Below are 18,958 nucleotides of genomic sequence, written 5' to 3' on the forward strand. Positions count from 1 at the left end.
ACAGAATCTAAGAGGATGTTAAGAAATATGATACACCATGATCAAGTGGGGTTCATCCTAGAAATGTAAGACTGGTTCAGTAATAGAAAATCTACTGATATAATTGACAACATTAATAAATCAAAGGATAAAAGGCACATAACAATTTCCCTAATGCTAAAATGTATTTGATAACAATTCAACATCACTTCCAGATAAAAAAAAAACCTAACAGAAAAAGATGTCTATTTCCATAATACCATCATTATCATCAGACTTTTGTTTTAAAGTCAAAAGCCAATATTGTGCTTAATGGCAAAACACTAGAGGTATACCCATTAAAAACAAGAACAAGGCAAAGGTGCCCACTTTCCCCACTAATATTTAATATTGTTCTGAAAGCAATAGTGCAATTTAACAAAATAAAGATGTAAACATTGGAAGAAGGGGATATCTTCTCATTATGTATAGATGATACGATTATTTATCTGGAAAATTCATCAGAAACTTTTTTTTTGAGACAGAGTCCAGCTCTGTCACCTAGGCTGGAGTGCATGATCTCCGCTCACTGCAACCTCTGCCTCCCAGGTTCAAGCGACACTCGTGCCTCAGCCTCCCAAGTAGCTAGGACTATAGGCATGCACCACCATACCCGGCTAATTTTTGTATTTTTAGTAGAGACAGGGTTTTGCCATGTTGCCCAGGCTGGTCTCAAACTCCTGGCCTTAAGCAATCCACCCACTTCGGCCTCGCAAAGTGCTAAGATTACAGGCATGTGCCACTGTGCGCAGCCTCATCATAAACAATTTAAAAATAATACCAACAACAGGAAAATTCAGTAAGGTGTCAGGGTATAAAATTCATATATGGAAATCATCTTTTCTACATAGATGCAACAATTAGTTAGAATATATAATGGAGGGAAAGATCACATTTACTGCAGCAATTATAAAGGTAAGATGCCTAGAAATAAACCTAACAAGATATATGCAGGATCTATACGCAAAAACTTTAAAACTCTATTGAGAAACATAAAACTAGATGCACATAAATGAAAGGACTCACAATTTCCTAGCAACGATGACTCAACATTGTTAAGATGTCAACTCCAAGTGAATCTATAAACTTAATAGAAACTCAATAAAAGTGTCAACAGACTGCATTTTGGAACATTATTGTAAATTTCATATGGGAAAATTAAAATCGTAAGAATTATTATGAACGGTATGGAAAAAGAGAGATGAAAGAGGGAAGACCAGCCCTACCAATTATTGAAATAATTTCTAAAGTTAGCAGTAAATAAGGCAGTCTCACAAATAGAAAGGTAGATCCATGGAATAAAACAGAGAACACTAGAACACTGAAGTCAACTCAAATGCATAGGGGAAGTTAGTTTGTGATGAAGCATTTCAAATAGTGGGGGAAGGATGAATCATTCAATACGTAGTTTTAGAACTGGATAGCCATTGAGACAAAAATAAAGCTGAATCATCCTATCACTTTTTACAACGAAATAAAGTTTAGATGTATCAAGACTCAATTGTCAAAAAAATACCATAAAGGTACTAGAAGAAAACATTTTTAAAAATATAAAATAATCTTGGCAGGATAAGTTCTTTTTAAGTAAGACACAAAACATAAAAGTAATAAGGGAAAGTTTATAAATTTGACTTCTTAAAACTTAAAAAATTATGTCCAGAAAAAACACCATAAAGTCTAAAGGTGAAGATATACTGGGAAAAATATTTGTAACATATACAACTAAGAGTAAATATCCTTAATATGTGAAGTATGCTTACCAATCAATAAAAGGGACCAACAACTCCATAGGGAGAAAAAGGTATAGTTCACAGAAAATGACTTATCAATTTACCAAAAGGTGTTCGACCTCACTTAAAATTTAAAAAATGCAAATCCAAACAATAATGACACTTTTTAAATAAAAAAAGTTAAAGAATTAATGAGGGTATAAGGAAACAGGTGATCTTACACACTGTTGGTGGGAGTTGAAATTAGCATAACTCCTAGGGAGGGCAATTTGGAAGGCAAAGAAGGTAAAATGTGCATATCCTTTGACCCAGTAGTTCAACTTCTAGGGATTTATCCTACAGACACATTCCAACATGAACACAAAGAGATATCCATAAGGATATTCACTGTAGATTTGTATGTAATCACAAAAGACTGGAAACCATCTAAATGTCCTTCAATAGGGACTAAATAAAATAGGGAATATCTATATATGGAACACTATGTAGCGTTAAAGGTGATGCAATAGAGCTATGTGTAACATAGAATAATCACTAAAATAAAAAAGCAGGATGTACAATAGAAAAGATATGCAATATGTTCCCATTTTTGTAAAAAAGAATGTATATACATGCACACACGTTACTTTTCTGGAAGGATACACAACAAATTGCCAGTAATGTCTCTTGTAAAGAGTTGTACTGATGGTTTGGGGTGAGATTCTCTTATTGTGTGTGTGTGTGTGTGTGTGTGTGTGTGTGTATACACTAAATGCATTTATTACTTTTTTCAATTAAAAATTAGTAAACAGAAAAATAAAGCATAAATCTGATTTTGTTATACATTTTTCTGCTTGAAGCCTACATTATTCATAAAATACAGACCCTTACTAGGATTTGTTAGGTTTCTTAAAATTCTGCCTTTCCTATCCTCCCACACTTCTTTTTGCCTTTACATGCTGTTTGCTCTTTATCTTCTCTTTCCGCCTCTTTATCTGACTTACTTTTAGAATTCCACTGAGATATCATTTCCTTGAGGAAGCCTTCCCTGATTCCCCCAAAGCATGGGATAGGTGCCCAGACTGTCCTCTAACAGCACCCATTAATTTTCCTAGCACACTACTGCTTAGTTGTCTGCCCCTTCCACATAACCATATTGAGGGTGAAGGCACATGTCAAGTTCACCACTGTATCACTAGTATCCAGCACAGTGCCCGGCACACAGTGGGTGCTCAGTACATATTTCTTCAATGTGAAATAAATGCAGGTTTGTGTGACTATGGAAAAGAAGAAAAGTTAGATCTTTTTTACTGTAACCTCGTAGCCCAGGTTGCCAGGCAATGGGAACAATGAGTAGCAGGTAAAGCAGTCAGCAGCTGTCCAATTGCTCCAGAATCTGATTGGGGTTTGTGTGTGGTGGGGGGAGGGGGAGTGGCCTGGGATTTATCTCGAGGCTGTGTTTGCATAGCAAGTCTGTTGTTTTTACCTAAATTGCGTATTTATTTGGGGTAGCGCAAGCTAATGGAAATTATTTGCTTTGCTCAACCTTATCAAGCTTCCTAATTCTATTACTGGGCTGATTTACCCTACAGTGCTCAAAGAGCACCGGAGTTCATGAGCTGCATGGAGCTTTGCTGCTTTGATCAAAGCTGGTGCCTTGTCAATGCCGTCCTTAGCTACACATCTCAAAAGATGAGGTGCTTGTCTCATGTAGGTGCTCTCATAAAATGCTGCTTCCTACTTCAACTGGGTGCCTGGCCAACGCCCTTCAGCCTTGTCCAATCATTTTTTCAGTTTTTGGTATCCAAAGATTAACGATTAATGGGTTACTGATATTTACCTTGAAACCTTTATGGTCAGTTCCCTTTTTCTTCATTCTGGAGGAGTTCTGGGTTTGTAGAAAAATAAGGTCAACTCTCCACTCTACTGGGCTTTTACCATTCTTTTTTCCTTCTCCCTGAAACTGGATTTCAACCACCTACCCTTTTTTTTTGACTGGTCATTTATTTTTTAGTCTAGGGTAGTTGTGTTCACAGAACTTCTTTTATATTTATTTTTTTCTATTTCTTGCATTTCAAAGCATAAATATGAGGACATTAGCACATATAAGAAATTAATAAATATATTGCCAACATATGTTGAGGGTACATGCTTAAAAAATTCTTTCTGAGAAGGGTACATGATCCAACTTTCATTGGAAACCACTAGTCTGGGAAAACAGCTCATAATCAAAGTGGCTCCTCATTAGAATTACCCAGGAAGTTGTTTAAAATGCAAATTCATAGGCCCCAACCCTAGAAATTGGGTTTCATACCTCTGTGGTGGGATCCAGGAATCAGCATTTTAAGCAATTCACCTAAAGGATTCTAACACAGGTGGTTCAGGGACCATATCATGGAAACAAAGGTTCAGAGTAAAAGGGTTGGGAGTGCTATGGTTTGGGGGCAGTTATTTGTTCCAATTAGGTTGGTTTCCAAACTATACATTCTGTCCCCCATCCCTCACCACACACACCTGGTTGCCCATTTCTATCTCCTGTCCCTGCCTCTCTCCCGACCTTCACCTCCGATGTAGATTTTATGAAATGCAGCAATATCCTCAAAGGCAACAATTGGGCCAATGTATTGCAGCTGTGATGAAAACAACCCTGCTCCATGATAACAATCAAATTTACCACATTTTCTTCTTCCCTAACCAGGGCACAGGACAGGCAATTGAGCAAAGCAGAAAGAACACAGTGTTGGAAAGACTTGGGTCTGAATTCCAATAAAATTTAAAAATCTGGCTCTATAACTCAAAAGCTGTGTGACCTTGAGCAAGGTATTTCACTTACCTCATTTTCAACAAAATACCTATCTTACAAATAAGCAGTCATAAGGATGAACTATGTAAAAAGGACCTAGAAATGATGCTAGGAACATGGAAAATTGCCTTCACAATTGTATGCTTCAGGCTTGCTCCTTGTTCCCATCAAGAGAATTGGACTGCACTCCCTGATTAATGTTCAACCCTGCTCAATAGCCAAGAAACCAGGAGACCTCAAGTCCCAGCTCAACCACATAGCTGACTAGCCAGGAGGCCCTAGTTTACTAAGGAGTTTAAGCCTGGACTCATTCACTCAAACTTTTCCTATCTACTAAAAAGGGAGATATAATAAAAGGCAAGTTTAGGGTTAAGAGCAGTGTGACAATCAAAAGGTCTGGATATTCAAAGGTGTCTTAAGTACTAACTATGTGTGTTAGCCTTAAAAAAATCCCCCCCCCCACCCCATCCCGGTAATAAACTCCAGAAACAGTTGGAAGAAAAGAACATGCCCTTCTAGGGACATCTGGTGCCCCAAGTCATGGAACTGTGACCCTATCTGGAGGTACTGGGCACAAGGCAACTTGGGAATTGCTATTCTCTGCATCAGCCCTCATTTTAAAACCACTGCCCTCCCACTCACTTGCCCTGTGTTGGGGCAGCCTGAGACTTGCAGAGTCACTTATATCAAGCAGGCAGAAGAAGACCAACTCCAGAAGGGGAAGGGCTACCCTTAATGGGATCATCTGGGCCAACGTGTGTACTAGTCATTCCTTCAACAAATCCTTGCTGAATATTACACTGTGCAAGATGACCAGATCAAAGGGGAGCAAAACCAATGTTGCTCCTGTCTTCCTGGCTTTAACAATTGAAGCAAAATGGTGATGGTGAAAGGGAGGCTTCCATTGAAGGGTGTCAGCCTCAAGCCAAGGATATTGGTTGGCCTCTAGAAGTCCTATTTTCAAGGGGATCAGGCCTCCTAAATGTACAGAAATTTGCAACTCTGCTTTGAGACCAAGTAAGGATTCTTTCCTTGGAGTGGAGGGCAAGGAGCTTCATTAAGGAAAAGGAACTACTCTGGTTTCTTTCTTTTCTTCTCTTCTCTTCCCCTTCCTTCCTTCCTTCCTTCCTTCCTTCCTTCCTTCCTTCCTTCCTTCCTTCCTTCCTTCCTTCCTTCCTTCCTTCCTTCCTTCCTTCCTTCCTTCCTTCCTTCCTTCCTTCCTTCCTTCCTTCCTTCCTTCCTTCCTTCCTTTCTTATTTTTGAGACAGTGTCTTGCCCAGTCTAGAGTGCAGTGGCGCAATCTTGGCCGACTGCAACCTCTGCCTCCCAGGTTCAAGTGATTCTCATGCCTCAGCCTCCCCGTGTGCCACCATGCCTAGCTAATTTTTGTATTTTTAGTAGAAACTGGTTTTTGCCATGTTGGCCAGGTTGGTCTCGAACTCCTGACCTCAAGTGATCTATCCACCTTGGCCTCCCAAAGTTCTGGGATTACAGGCGTGAGCCACCGCACCCAGTCGACTACTCTGGTTGCCAAGTGTTGGGCCCCGTGTTAGGCACTTTCACGTATGTATTTCCATTAATCTTCACAACAACCATTATTGTCAGTTTGCAGATGAGACTCCTGAGGCTTAAAAAGGATAAATCATTTTCCCAGCTAGTAAAAAGCACAGTGTCCAGACCTGCCTTGTCTGTCTCTGAGAGATAATCGCAGGGAAGCAGGGACTCCTGGGGTACAGCAAAAGGTACTTGTGCTACATTCATCCTCGGGCGTCCATGAAGGCTTTAGCGCCTCACTGAGGAAAGCAGAGGAAGCATGAAAGCAAACTATGAGAAAGGGCTTTGTTGACATCAGCAAGGAGACTACATCTCAAAAACAAAAGTAAATTGCCTGCCAAAACCAGGGTTGTTCATCTCTTTTCCGCTTCCATGGGTTGCCTTTTCTTCTGAAGAACGGATTTTCCCTTTTTGTTAAAATATTTTTTTTTGGCCTAATAGGAATTGAAAATGAAAACCAATATTTGCAGAGACTGAAAAATCTCCTCCTACCTCTTCCTCGGCCCTTTTGAAGTTTCTTGTTTGGAAACTTTATTTTTAAGCTCACCACAATAGCTTGGCATTCTAGAATCTCAGTAGCAACAGCACACAAGCCCAACCCGTCTCGCCTTTCCCTTCCCTCAGCAGCCAAGTAAGACTGCTCCAAGAGAAACAGACACTCCCAGGTTATTGCCGAAGGAAATATTTGCAAGATCCAGGAAGTGAGACGCAAGGAGGATACACAGGGAGGGGAGAAGGACCCAGAGAGCCTGTTGCTGCCACCCCTGCTTGCCCCCGGGCCCACAGAAATTCAAGTAATGAACAATTAGCTTGGCAACAACAAATGCAAGTGGCAGTGCTTGCCCTGAACCTTCTCTAGTCCTCAGGAGGCTGATGCAAAGTGTCCTGTGAAGAAATCAGAGAAGTCCTTGCTTTACTGGGGCTGTCCTGGGTGAAGCTTAGCTCCTTCTCTCCAATGACCCCAATCTATATTTGTTGTCAAGTAATACATACATATGCAGTCACTGTGGTAGAGAGAAAATGTGCTTCTTTGTGAATAATAGCACTGAAATGCAAACTAGTGCTAGTGATAGAAATGAAGGGAAATGGAAAAGCTTTAAGAAAGGGATGGTTCTGAGGCAGATAATAAAATGTTTATTGGTGGGGGTGTGTGTGAGGGGGTACTATGTTGTAGTGGTGGTGACAAATTTGGAGATTCGTAGAGGTCTGGTGATGTCAAAGTTCTTGTGGATTTAAGCAAGCAAAAGTGCTAGTGGATGGAGAATTCTAGCAAACCCAATTCTAGCTAGCAGTGAGAGTAAGCATGTCTGGTAAGTAACATTGTCTGTCATTGGTACGGGGATTTTTTACAAAGCCCTTGATCTTTAACTTCTCGGGTCTATATCAAACCAACGTGGGCCACCTCTTATTCAGATTTTCTTTTTAATTATAAATTCCAACAACTTGACATGTACCTAAAGAACACCATGTACATTCATATCCAACTATTTACATTTTGCCAGATTCCTTTCTGAATTTTCTTTGTGTATGGCTACTATCAGATTAGATTCAACATGTGGTTTCATATTTATTATTTTTTTGTTAATATTACAACCACTCATTTCTGGGAAAGACCCAACATTTGTATACCTGTCACTGTTGATGGCTATTCTATTTTGTTCCAAGATGATGATATATTAGATTGGTAAACTCTTTCCATGAGTATAATAAGCACTACTATGAACATCTTTAAATAATTTTTTCCCTCTTAGGTTATTTCCTTGGGGGTATTTTAGGCCAAATAATATGAACACATATTTCTAGATTGTCCTCTAGGAAGACTAAACCCAGAAACACATACTCTTGTCACATTTTTCTAGATTGCCCTCTAGGAAGACTAAACCAATTTGTATTGTTTCCAGAAGCACGTTTCCTCACAGCCTTGCCAAGGTAGCATTTTACAATTTCTATTTATTGATTTTTTTAATTGCTGATAGTTTAATAAGCAGATTATGATGCCTTGAAGTTGCTTCTATTTGTACTTCTTTAATTGCTAGAGAGGTGGTACTTTTCCATGCAATGATTTTACTCCCTTTATTGCCTCATGTGTAAATTGCCTGTTCATTTTCCTTGCCCACTTACGAAGCTAAATCTGAAAGCTGACCTTCTACCCATTTTTATATATATATTTTTTGGACATGCAACTGTTGTCAGTGATGCTGATCCCAGACATTTTCCTCGTTCTGTTGCTTAGCTTTTTATTACATTTTGTTGTACAAAGGCTTCCCCCCCACCAACTTTTATATATTTGAATCCATCGATCTTGTCTCTGATGATATCCTCCATTTAACAGACACAAATTTATCTTCCATCCACACCTGGAATAAATATGCGATTCTACTGGTCCACTTTCTATACAGTATGTGATATGAATCTAAGTTAATTATTCTCCATATTGATATCTAAAATTCCCAACATTTTTTAAAGAAATAGTAATTGCTTTCCCCAGTTCAGGGTTGTTTCCAGTGTGTCCTATATACTTAAAATAGCTTGAGTCTGTTTCTAGAAGCTCTTTTTTAATTTCACTGTTTGACTTTTTTTAACCCACTATCATATGGTTTTGATAATTGTTGTTTTATGATACGCTTTAAAATCTGATAGGGTAAGTCTACCATCATTAACTTTTAAAATAAATGTACTCTTTGGTATTTCCGCCCACTTACTTATTCTTCCAGATAAATTTTACTATAAATTTGACAAATTCTATAAAGTATCCCATGGTGACTACAATTGGAGTACATTATGTCTACACATTAAATTTAGGGAGAATTGTAATCATTACTATATTCAGTCTTCCTAAATTAAAGCAAAGTATACACTATGCATTTATTCATATTATTTCTCCCATTAGAGTTTTATAATTTTCCTTGAATAAGTTTCGTGTGCCTGGCGTTAAATTAATTCCTAAGTATTTAAATTCACTTAGTTATACTTGTGACAAATCCTTCCGAGCCTCTGAAGGCTGCATTCTTCTTAGGTAGTAAAGGCTTCCTGAAAAGTGTACTCTTCCTAATGAAATCAGATTCAACTCTGAATTACCCATATTCTTTCACTCAATCAGTAAATAGGAACTCTGTACCGGGTATTTCACACTCTGCTCATGATGTGGTGTGACAAAGGGAAGGAAGAGAACCCTAGGCTGAGAATGGAAAATCCTAAGTAGAGCTCTAGTTTGGTCACTTACTTGCTGTATAATCCCAGTAGTAATGGGCTCTGAAGTCAGATGCCTGTTTGACCTTGGGCAAATGACTTTAATCTCTTTGTGAGTCAATTTCTTCATCTGCAAAACTGGGTCAATAAACAGTAATGCTCTCACGGGGTTATTACAAATAATAAAATACTTCATATGAAATGCTTACAACAGTGTCTGACACAGAATAAACACTCAATAAATGTTAGCTATTATACCTGTTGTGGCTGCTGTTAATGGTATAATACCTTTTCTGAGTCTTGGCTTCCTCATCAGTAAAACGGGAAAAATAAGGTTTAACCTCAGTGTTGTTGTGAGAATTAACTGTGGTCATGCATATAAAAACACCCTACACATTCTAAAGTTCTGTGCAAAGTGAAAAAAATGGAAAGGGTCACAGCAGGCAATCATAGGTACAGAAAACCAAGAGAGATAATCCAGAAAATAACTTATTTTGGCTTTTAAATATATCACAGTAATGTAGCTTTTTCTCCCAGTAGATCTACTCACCATTTTTATCCCTCCTGCTAATATTACAATTTTTACATTCTCTTCACGGAAAACCAAATAACAGTGGAGGAAGACAACTAAGAGTATAACTACCTGAAATTAGCAATTCATTGCAGGCTTCCAGGCAAAGAGAGTGGCTTAAGAATACACATTTGATTTTTCCACCTACACTCATCATTCCAGTTTTTACAGAAATAACATAGTAAATGTTAAAATTTGTGTGTGTGGTGGTGGGGGAAGGTGTGAAGGGAAACTCTATCAGGATTTCTCCTCACAGATGTCATCTATGCCCTGGACATCTCCTAGTCCTTCTCATGTTTCCTGAGACCTTTAATTGGGACCTGCCTCTTCCATCTTCAGTGTCAATACTTCCTTTTCTATTGAGCTTTCCTTTCTGTTTTAAACTTAATTCAGTTTTCTAGATTCTGACTGAAGTTTCATTTGAACTGGTGGTTCTGAAACTTAGCTTGCGTCAGAATTGCCTGGAGGGCTTGTTAAAACAGAGATTGCTGGGCCACATCCTCACTTTCTGAATCAGTAGGTCTGAGTATGGCCTGAGAATGTGCATTTCTAACAAGTTCTCAGGTGATACTGAGGTTGCTGGGCCTGGGGCCACATTTTGAGAACCACTAAATTAAACCCAATTGCTCCCTCTAACTATCATCCTATTTCTCTCTTTCCTTTTCCTAGCTAATTTACTATTTTTAAACATCTTCCTTTTTAAACATTTTTTTTTCTTTTGAGACAGAGTCTCGTTCTGTTGCCCAGGCTGGAGTGCAGTATCACAATCTTGGCTCACTGCAACATCCGCGTCCCAGATTCAAGCGATTCTCCTGCCTCAGCCTCCTGAGTAGCTGGGATTACAGGCGCCTGCCACCATGGCTGGCTAATTTTTATATTTTTAGTAGAGACGGGGTTTCACCATGTTGGCCAAGCTGGTCTCGAACTCCTGACCTCAAGGGATCTGCCGGCTTCGGCCTACCAAAGTGTTGAGATTACAGGTGTGAGCCACCGCGCCGGGCCCCTTTTTAAACATTTTAAAAACCACACAGTAACAATTAATCTTTGTAGTAAAATTAGCCAAAAGAAACTGGAACTCTCTTTTGCTGGTGGGAATGTAAAATGGTGCAGTCGCTTTAGAAAACGGGCAGTTCCTCAAAAAGTTAAACAATAAAATTACCATTTGGCCCAGCAATTTCACTCTTAAATATGTACCAAAGATAATTAAAAACATAAATCTACACAGAAACTTGTACATGAATGTTCATAGCAGTAATATTCACAATAGCCAAAAAGTGAAAACAACCCAACAATCCATTAGTGGAAGGACTAGTAAACAAAATGTGATGCATCCATACAATGGAATATTATTTGGAAATAAAAAGGAACGAAGTACTGATACATGGATGAACTGCTAAACATTATGCTAAGTGAAAGGAGTCAGGCATAAAAGACCACATATTGTGCGATTAGAGTCATATGCAGTGCACAGAAAAGGAAGATCTATAAAGACAAAGTAGATTAGTGGTTGCTTAAGGTTGAGAGTGGGAATGGAGAGCAATGGCTAATGGGCATGAGGGGTCTTTTTAGGGTGATAGAAATGTTCTAAAACTTGATTGTGGTGATTGTACATCACTGTAAATTTACTAAAAATCATTGAATTGTACACTTAGAACAGGTACTTGCATTTAAATTGCATTAAATTGTACACTTAAAACAGGTACACTTAAAAGCTGCTTGCATTTCTTCTCTGTGCTCCCCCCTTACAGACCACCATGCCATCTATTTTCTATGCCTACCGCTTTACTGAATTTGCTTTCTTGAAGGTCACTTGTAATTCCAAACTGTTAAGGGCATTAACAGTCATCTGCTTATCTTCTACACTGGCAGATTTCTCCTTCTACTACTTCAGCTGCTTGACCCTTCAGTTTCCTTTGTTGATTCTTCTTCCTCATCCTGTGCCCTGGCTGGGTGTTTGACAAGCCTTGAAAGACTCAACTTGTATCTTCCACTAACTTCAAATACAACATATCCCAATTCAAACTTAGCAGCATCTTCACCAAACCAGGTCCCCTTCTCAAGTGCCCCATCTATGCCAATAACATTCTCCAAGTCACTGGGGCTCAGAGTTGTTTTTTATCTTTTTATCTTTTTTTTTTTTTTTTTGAGACAGGGTCTCGCTCTGTCACCCAGGATGGAATGCGGTCATGTGATCACAGCTCACTGCCGCCTCGAACACCTGGGCTTAAGTGATCCTCCCACCTCAGCCTCCTGAGCAGTTAGGACTACAGGTGTGTACTATCTCATGCTTGGCTAAGATATATTTCCTTTTTTCTCCTCAAGTTCTAGTCACCAAGTTTTCTCTACCTTGCCCTCAAAAGGTGTCACATATTTGTGAGCAAATAATCTGAACAGATAATTCACATGAGAAGCAATAAAGATATTAATATATTAATTAGACACACAAAATATTCAAACTAGAATTATCAAAGTAAGCAAATTAATACTATAATAGGTCCCATCAAACTGTATGGCATTAGAAAAAGAAAATTTTCAATGGTGACATAATTTTGGAAAACTGGTATGCTCATATATTGCTAATGGCATGTAAAACATCTCGTGGGGAAAACAGTTTGGTAAGATCTATGAAGAACCATAAGAATGTTTGTATTGTTTGCACTAGTAATCCCAACTCCACATAATTGTTTTTAATGAGATAATTCAAAATGAGAAAAAAAGCTATAGTGACTCAAAATATTTCTGCTGCATTACTTTATAATAGCCAGAAATTGGAAACAACCTATTTACCCAACAATTTGGGAATGATTAAGCAAATTAGAGCATATTAAGCTGGTGAAATATTATACAGCCACTAAAAATTATGACTTGAGGAAGCCTGCATAGCAACATGAAAAGTTGTTTACCACATAATGCTTAGAGAGGAAAAAGAAGCAGGACACACAAAATTACATCTACATGGTTATTATAATCATGCTTAGAAAACTCTCTATACCTATAGATAAAGCTGACAGGGAAATGAAAACAACCAAGGTGTTAAGGTGGTGACAATAAGGTTTTTTTTTCTTCTATTTTTAATTTCCTGTAATATTGTTTTTACAATAAACAAACTCCCCTCCCCCAAATATCACACCTATTTATCTATTCCTTCTGCTCCATTTCTATCGCACCTCTACCTCCCCAATCCAGGGCCACATTCTGTCATGGCCAGATCACTTCTCCTAATTGGTCTCTCTTCAACCCACTTAGGCTGCAAACACTGCAAAGTTGCCTAAAGGGCCACATTTATCATATCACTTACCTGATGGTAACCTTTCATTGCTCCCATGTTTGTGATCCTATCTAGGTTTACCTAGGCTGGTCTACCTAGGCTGGTCAAGGCCTGCCTAGGCTGGTCCAGTGCTTCACTACTCACCTTTCTTCTCTGCTGCTGCTGTTCTTCTTCCTCCTCATTACAGATAACATTTCCTGAGAGTTTACGGTGTCAGGTTTTGCTCTAAATGCTTTACATATATTAATTCATTTAGTCCTCATAACAACAAACATTTGAGATAGGTACTCTTATCCCATTTTATAAATAAGGGGGGAAGGGAAAGAGAGAGAGGGAGTGAGGCAGGCAGGTAGGCACTTGCCAAGGCCACATGGCTAGTGAATAGAAGAATCTGGCTTTGTACCCAGGCAGAACTGACTCCAAGGCCAGAACTTAACCAGTGGGGATTATTCCTCCAACACACCCTGCTTAGTCTCCTCTATGGGCCTTTCCTCTTACAGCTACCAACCCTCAGTTATTTTTATCCTCCAATGAACTTAAATAGTGTACAGTAATAGTTACCACGTGCTGCCCCCTTACCAGGTGCCAGGTGCTTCTTAAGCCCTGTATTTGACAGGGTTTCATCTTCTGTCAACTTGTGTGAGAAAGTAAAAGCTGGGCTTAATTCCTAGCTTATCCCTTTACTAGCTGTGAGACCTTGAGTAGATTCCTTAGGCTCTCTGACTGTGACCCTTTATGTGAGTTAGCAATTCTCAAACTGGATCCCAGGACCAGCTGCATCAGCATCACCCAGATGCTGTTTGAGCCTGTTCGAATTGCAGGTTTTGAGCTCCACTCCCCACTTACTGAATCACTCTCAGGATGCAGGGTCAGGTCCAACTATTTATCTGTGTTTCAATTGCGCAATCAAGTTTTGAGACCCACCGCCCCAGTTATAATCATACCTACCTGACAGAGTTGTTGGGAAGATAAAGCATAAGATAATATGTGTAATTCGGCTTGCAGCACATAGGTTGTTTGGCAAGTGGTAATTTATTATTATTGCCATTTAGCTTTGTGTGGGTTAGTCTTCCCTGCTCAAGCTGTGGGCAGGCACTGTGCTTCCTGCTGTTCTTTTGCTCGTATTTCTCACCTTGCCCAGAAAAAGGCAGGACCTATATTAGGTTTTCAATAAAGTCCTCTTATTTCACTGACTAATCAGTAAAAGAACCATTTCAGAGAAACACTGTAATGTAGTATAGTGTCCCTGAAGCTAGACCGCCTGGGTCTAGTCAACTGATTAGCTGTGGGACTTCAGGCAAATGAATGTATCTCTGTGTGCCTCAATTTCTTCTCTCTGTCAAATGGAGAGACTAATATTACCAACTCCATAAGGTCATAGTGATAAATACATACTTGTAAAATGATTTGAATGGGGTCTAGAATAGAGCACTGTGTTCAAGAAATGTTAGCTAGCATTATTTTGTGTCATTTCACCCATTAATGGTGGAGGAGGTTCCATTTCTTCATTTGGCAAGCAAATGACAAGTACCTCTTGAGCAACTTCTCTGTATCGGGCACCGTACTAGGTACAGAGAATAAAGCTATGACCAAGGTATGGTGTCCTCTCTCAAGGATCTCAGTCTAATACAGGAAACTTGCATATTCCAAAATGTCCTAGCAATCAGTTTGGTCTGTACCCAGCTATCTAGGAGTGCGGGGGGCAGGGGGACAGGCTGAATTATATCTATGGTATCAAGCCCTTAGTCTAGATACCAGGCCAGTTTCCTCAAAGGAAACTAAGCAAACCAAAGACCTTAGCAATTTCTACAGAAGCTCCAGAGGCACCAACCCACCCCAACTCCCTGAGCGCTCACTTACCTCCCTGACTGGCTGGTCTTCCTGTTTCCTGTTATTGGATTCCATTTGTCCCCAGGAAATTCCTGTAAAGAAAAATCCTGATAAGTTAGAAAGCTTTGAGCAGCCAGGTATCTAGATGGCCTCAAAAATGTGAAGAGGTCAGGAGCCGGTGTCTGGCCCAGCCCCCCAGCTTGTTTCTTCTACTCTGCTATGCAGGCTGAGAAATTTGTACCTGGAGGGCTGCCTTTCTGTCGGCAGGCTTGCTAAACTGCTGCAGACATGCAGAGACTAAGGGAGCACTTAGGGACCTGGACACCATGGTCTAGGAATGCTGTTTCCCTCTTTCTCCACTCCCCTCCCAAACCACATTAAAAACCAGTTTAGTATGTTTGCTGTTTGCCCTGGCTCTTGCCTGCACAGAGAGATGGAGGTCTTTTTGTTTGTTCTGCTGGGTGAACCTGCTCATTCCTCCTGCCTCTTCCAACAGAGAAAGCATCTACTTGGAAGCCCTGACCCTTGAGGGGGGCTTTGAGGGCAGAAGCTCCGGCTGCAGCAACCCTCTCCCCAGGTGAGGCAGAGGGACAGCAGGTATGCCAGCATGCCTCCAACTGCAGTGGCTCCTCCTTCTCTGCCCACATCTGCTGGCAGGGGCTGAGGTGGGCCCATCTCTGGGGAATATGAGTGCAGGTTGCCACAGTCCCTACATTACAGGAGCAGACTCTCTACCCTGGGCATTTTTTCCTTAAGGGCCATGTCCAAGCAACTCTTTTTTTTTTCTAGGCCAAGCCATATGTGCCGTTTGTAAAACTGTCCCTGCCTTCCTATTTTAGCTCCAAACTGAATGCAAATTAGCCTTTCAGATTCTCTCTTTGTATCCAATACTCCACACCTAGAGACTCAGAGTTTAGTTCAATGGGAATGCACAGTTTTTCCTAAATTTCACTGATCTTCCAAACTCCCTCTTTCTCCAATGCTACTACTATTAGTCCCATTCAAAGTTTTATTACCTTTGCCCCAGTAGGTCTCCCTACTGGAAGTAAGACGCCTGGTGAAGCAGAATAAACATAGATCCTTGGCGCAGTCTCACTGGCTAAGACACTTAATAGTGGTGTTATTTGAGGTTATTCATATTACCTCCTTGAACCTCACCTCAGTTTCCTATCTGGGTGACCAGTAGTGATAATAAATAAGATATGCAGAGAGAACTCCTAGCACATTGCTTGGCACATAAGAGGCTCTGGATGTTAGCAGCAATGGAAAAGTTGAGGTTTATTTCTTGGCTTCAGCTTTTAAAGGACCACAGCAGTCCCTGCCTATATCTGGCATGTCAGAACAGCTCTAACCACTTGTACTTTAGACTCTGCCTCGATGCCCTTGTGAGACGTTCCTGCCTGCAAAGACACCATTACTTGTTCAACCACAGTGGGGGCCAGGATTTCCTGTCCATGCCCTGTCTAGCCCTGTGGACGTGCTCAGTAAATAGCAGTGGCCAAACCAAAGTCCTATACCAACTCCCAACCACCTTCCCAGGTCCACAGTATCACTCTACTTTTTTTTTCCCTAAGCCACATAGGTTCCTGGTACATTGCTTGCACCCTTTGAATCAAAGAGGCAGTTATCCCCACCGCTTGCTGCAAATGGAGATTGTGATGGGAACTTGCTGTCCCAGTGGAAGTGATACTGCTAGAGGGCATCCGGCCACACTAGAGAGGGCCTGGGCTTTGCAATCAGCTTATGGAGAGGCAGTGTAGCACAGTCAGGAGCTTGGCCTCTGGAGCTTGATAGCATGGATTCAAATCGCACACCTGCCTTTCACTTGCGGCCTCAGGCAAGCCATTCAACTTCTCTTTATCTCAGTTTCCCCAACTATATAATAGTATAATCACGATAATAATATTGCTTGAGAACTCAATGACTTGATACATGTAAAGCATCTAGAATAGTACCTGGTGCCCAGTAGACACTGAGATGCTAGTTACTGTCATGTTATTCAAATTCTGGCTCTGCCACTTGCTAGATGTGTGACCTCTCTGAGCCTTGGCTTTCTCAGCTTCCTCAGCTGTAAAATGGGAGATCCTATTATAACTTATCCCATACAATTGGTAAGTGAAATAATTTGACAATGAATGAAAAACAAGCTGGTATGAAGGACGTGAGTGCATGCTGATTTCAGTCTTCACAGCACTGAACAGGAGACAATTAGTTCACCAACCTCGTCCAGGGGCATTAGGAGCAGGATCTCAGCCCTACTTCAGATAGCTACCACCACAAGTACCTGAGTCATCAGAGCGATGGCATCTTAACCCATGCTGCAAGTTTTTCCCATTTCTTGAGGGGGGTGGAGTAGGAGTGGAAGGTTCAGATGATGGGCAGAAATGGGCATGTGGTGTCTCCTAGGCAGCCATCCACGTGTCGGAATGCCTAGTATCTAAGCAGACCTGCTTAGCTGGTCTAACAAGCATTAGGAACCCAAGGTATCCCTCCCTCAGAGTACAAAAAATAGAGGCATGGTGTAGGCACAGCCTCACCCGCATGCATTACTGCTGCCAATTGCTGCAACCTGCAAATCGTACCTCCATCTCTTATAGAGCTGCTGGTCCTGGGCTGACACCGCTGCAGCCGTCATCTCCTCACTTCCCCCGCCCCACTCACCCCCAATCTCAGCCCCCTTTGTCTACTGTCTATCTGTGAGTCCTTCTTCCAGCAAAAGTCTCTCAAGCTAAGCCAAAATGTCCCTTTAAGAGATGATAACTCACTTATAAGATGATTACAATCTGGCAGTCACTGCTCTGAGTCTTAAATGTGTTACATCACTTAATCCCCACAACCAACTTATGAAGTAGGTGTTGTTACTACCCCCATGCTTTTAGATGGGAAAGCTTAGGCATTGTAAGTTCGGGGGAAGAAATTCAAAACCAGGCAGTCTGGTTCCAGCTTCGGTGCCCTTAAAACCATTATTTTATATTTCCTCTCCTCTTTTTTTCAACATTATGAATATATTCAAACATACAAAAATGTTGAAAGAAGTTCACAGTGATCACCCATATACCCAGCACCTAGATTCTACAATTAACATTTTGATATATTTGCCTTATCATATATCCATTTACTCCTCTATCCATCTACCAATCCATCTTAAAATCCTGGTGCATTTTAAAGTAAGTTGAAAACAACTATATCCCCATAAATTTTAAAATGTAAATGAAATGGACAAATTTCTTGAAAGACACAAACTACTAAAGCTTACTCAAGGAGAAATAGATGACCTAAATGTCCCCAAATCTATTAAAGAAATTGAATTTGTAGTTAAAAAGCTTTCTACCAAAAAACCTCCAGGCCCAGATGGCTTCAGTGATGAATTCAAGCAAACATTTAAGGAAGACATTTTATACAAACTCTTCCTGAAAATAAAAGAGAAGGGAATACATCCCAACTCATTTTTTAAGGCTAGCATTACCTTGATACAAACAAACAAAAAAAACAAAAAACAGAAAAAGATGTTATAATAAAACTATAGACTAAAATCCCTGATAAACATAAGGGCAAAATCCTTAACAAAATATTAGCAAATCTAGTAACATATAAAAGGATAATACATCATGACCAAGTGGGATTTATCCTGGCAATGCTAGGCTTCTATTTATTTTAAAAATCAATCAATGTCATTCACCACATCAGTAGACTAAAAGAGAAAAACTATATGATCATCTCAACAGATACAGAAAAAGCATTTGAAAAAAAATACAACATCCACTTCTGATGAAAACTCTCAGTAAACTAAGAATAAAAGAGATTTTCCTCAATTAAAGGGCACCTACAAAAAAATCCTACAGCTAACATCAAACTTTATAGTCAAAGATTAAGAAAAAAGCTACAATGTCCACTCTTACCATTTCCTCCAAACATTGTATTGAAGGTGAGAGTGCAATAAGGCTCTTCTCTCTCCCAGAAAAGGGCATGTACAGGAGAAAGGAAGACACTAAATTCTATTTGGAGATGGCATGATT

At 40.1% G+C, this 18,958-nt stretch overlaps 1 protein-coding gene across 17 annotated transcripts in view; it reads right to left on the reverse strand.

Moving 5' to 3' along the window:
- Nucleotides 1-18,958, reverse strand: part of SHROOM4 (shroom family member 4) — a 238,661-nt gene that overhangs the window by 37,108 nt on the left and 182,595 nt on the right. For 8 of the 17 annotated variants that reach the window (XR_007068197.1, XR_007068196.1, NR_172068.1 and 5 more), the window contains one exon: nt 14,973-15,034. Coding sequence is in view for 8 of the 17 variants with exons in the window: in XM_047442279.1 (XP_047298235.1) it covers nt 14,973-15,034 (62 nt within the window). In the remaining 9 variants the exon portion in view is untranslated. Of the gene's footprint in view, nt 1-6,209; nt 6,324-14,185; nt 14,449-14,972; nt 15,035-18,958 lie in introns of those variants that run through there. The other 9 variants (XR_001755718.3, XR_001755717.3, XR_001755716.3 and 6 more) reach the window with 2 other exon arrangements.

This window comes from Homo sapiens, chromosome X (genome assembly GCF_000001405.40).
Source record: "Homo sapiens chromosome X, GRCh38.p14 Primary Assembly".
Lineage (NCBI taxonomy): Eukaryota > Metazoa > Chordata > Mammalia > Primates > Hominidae > Homo > Homo sapiens.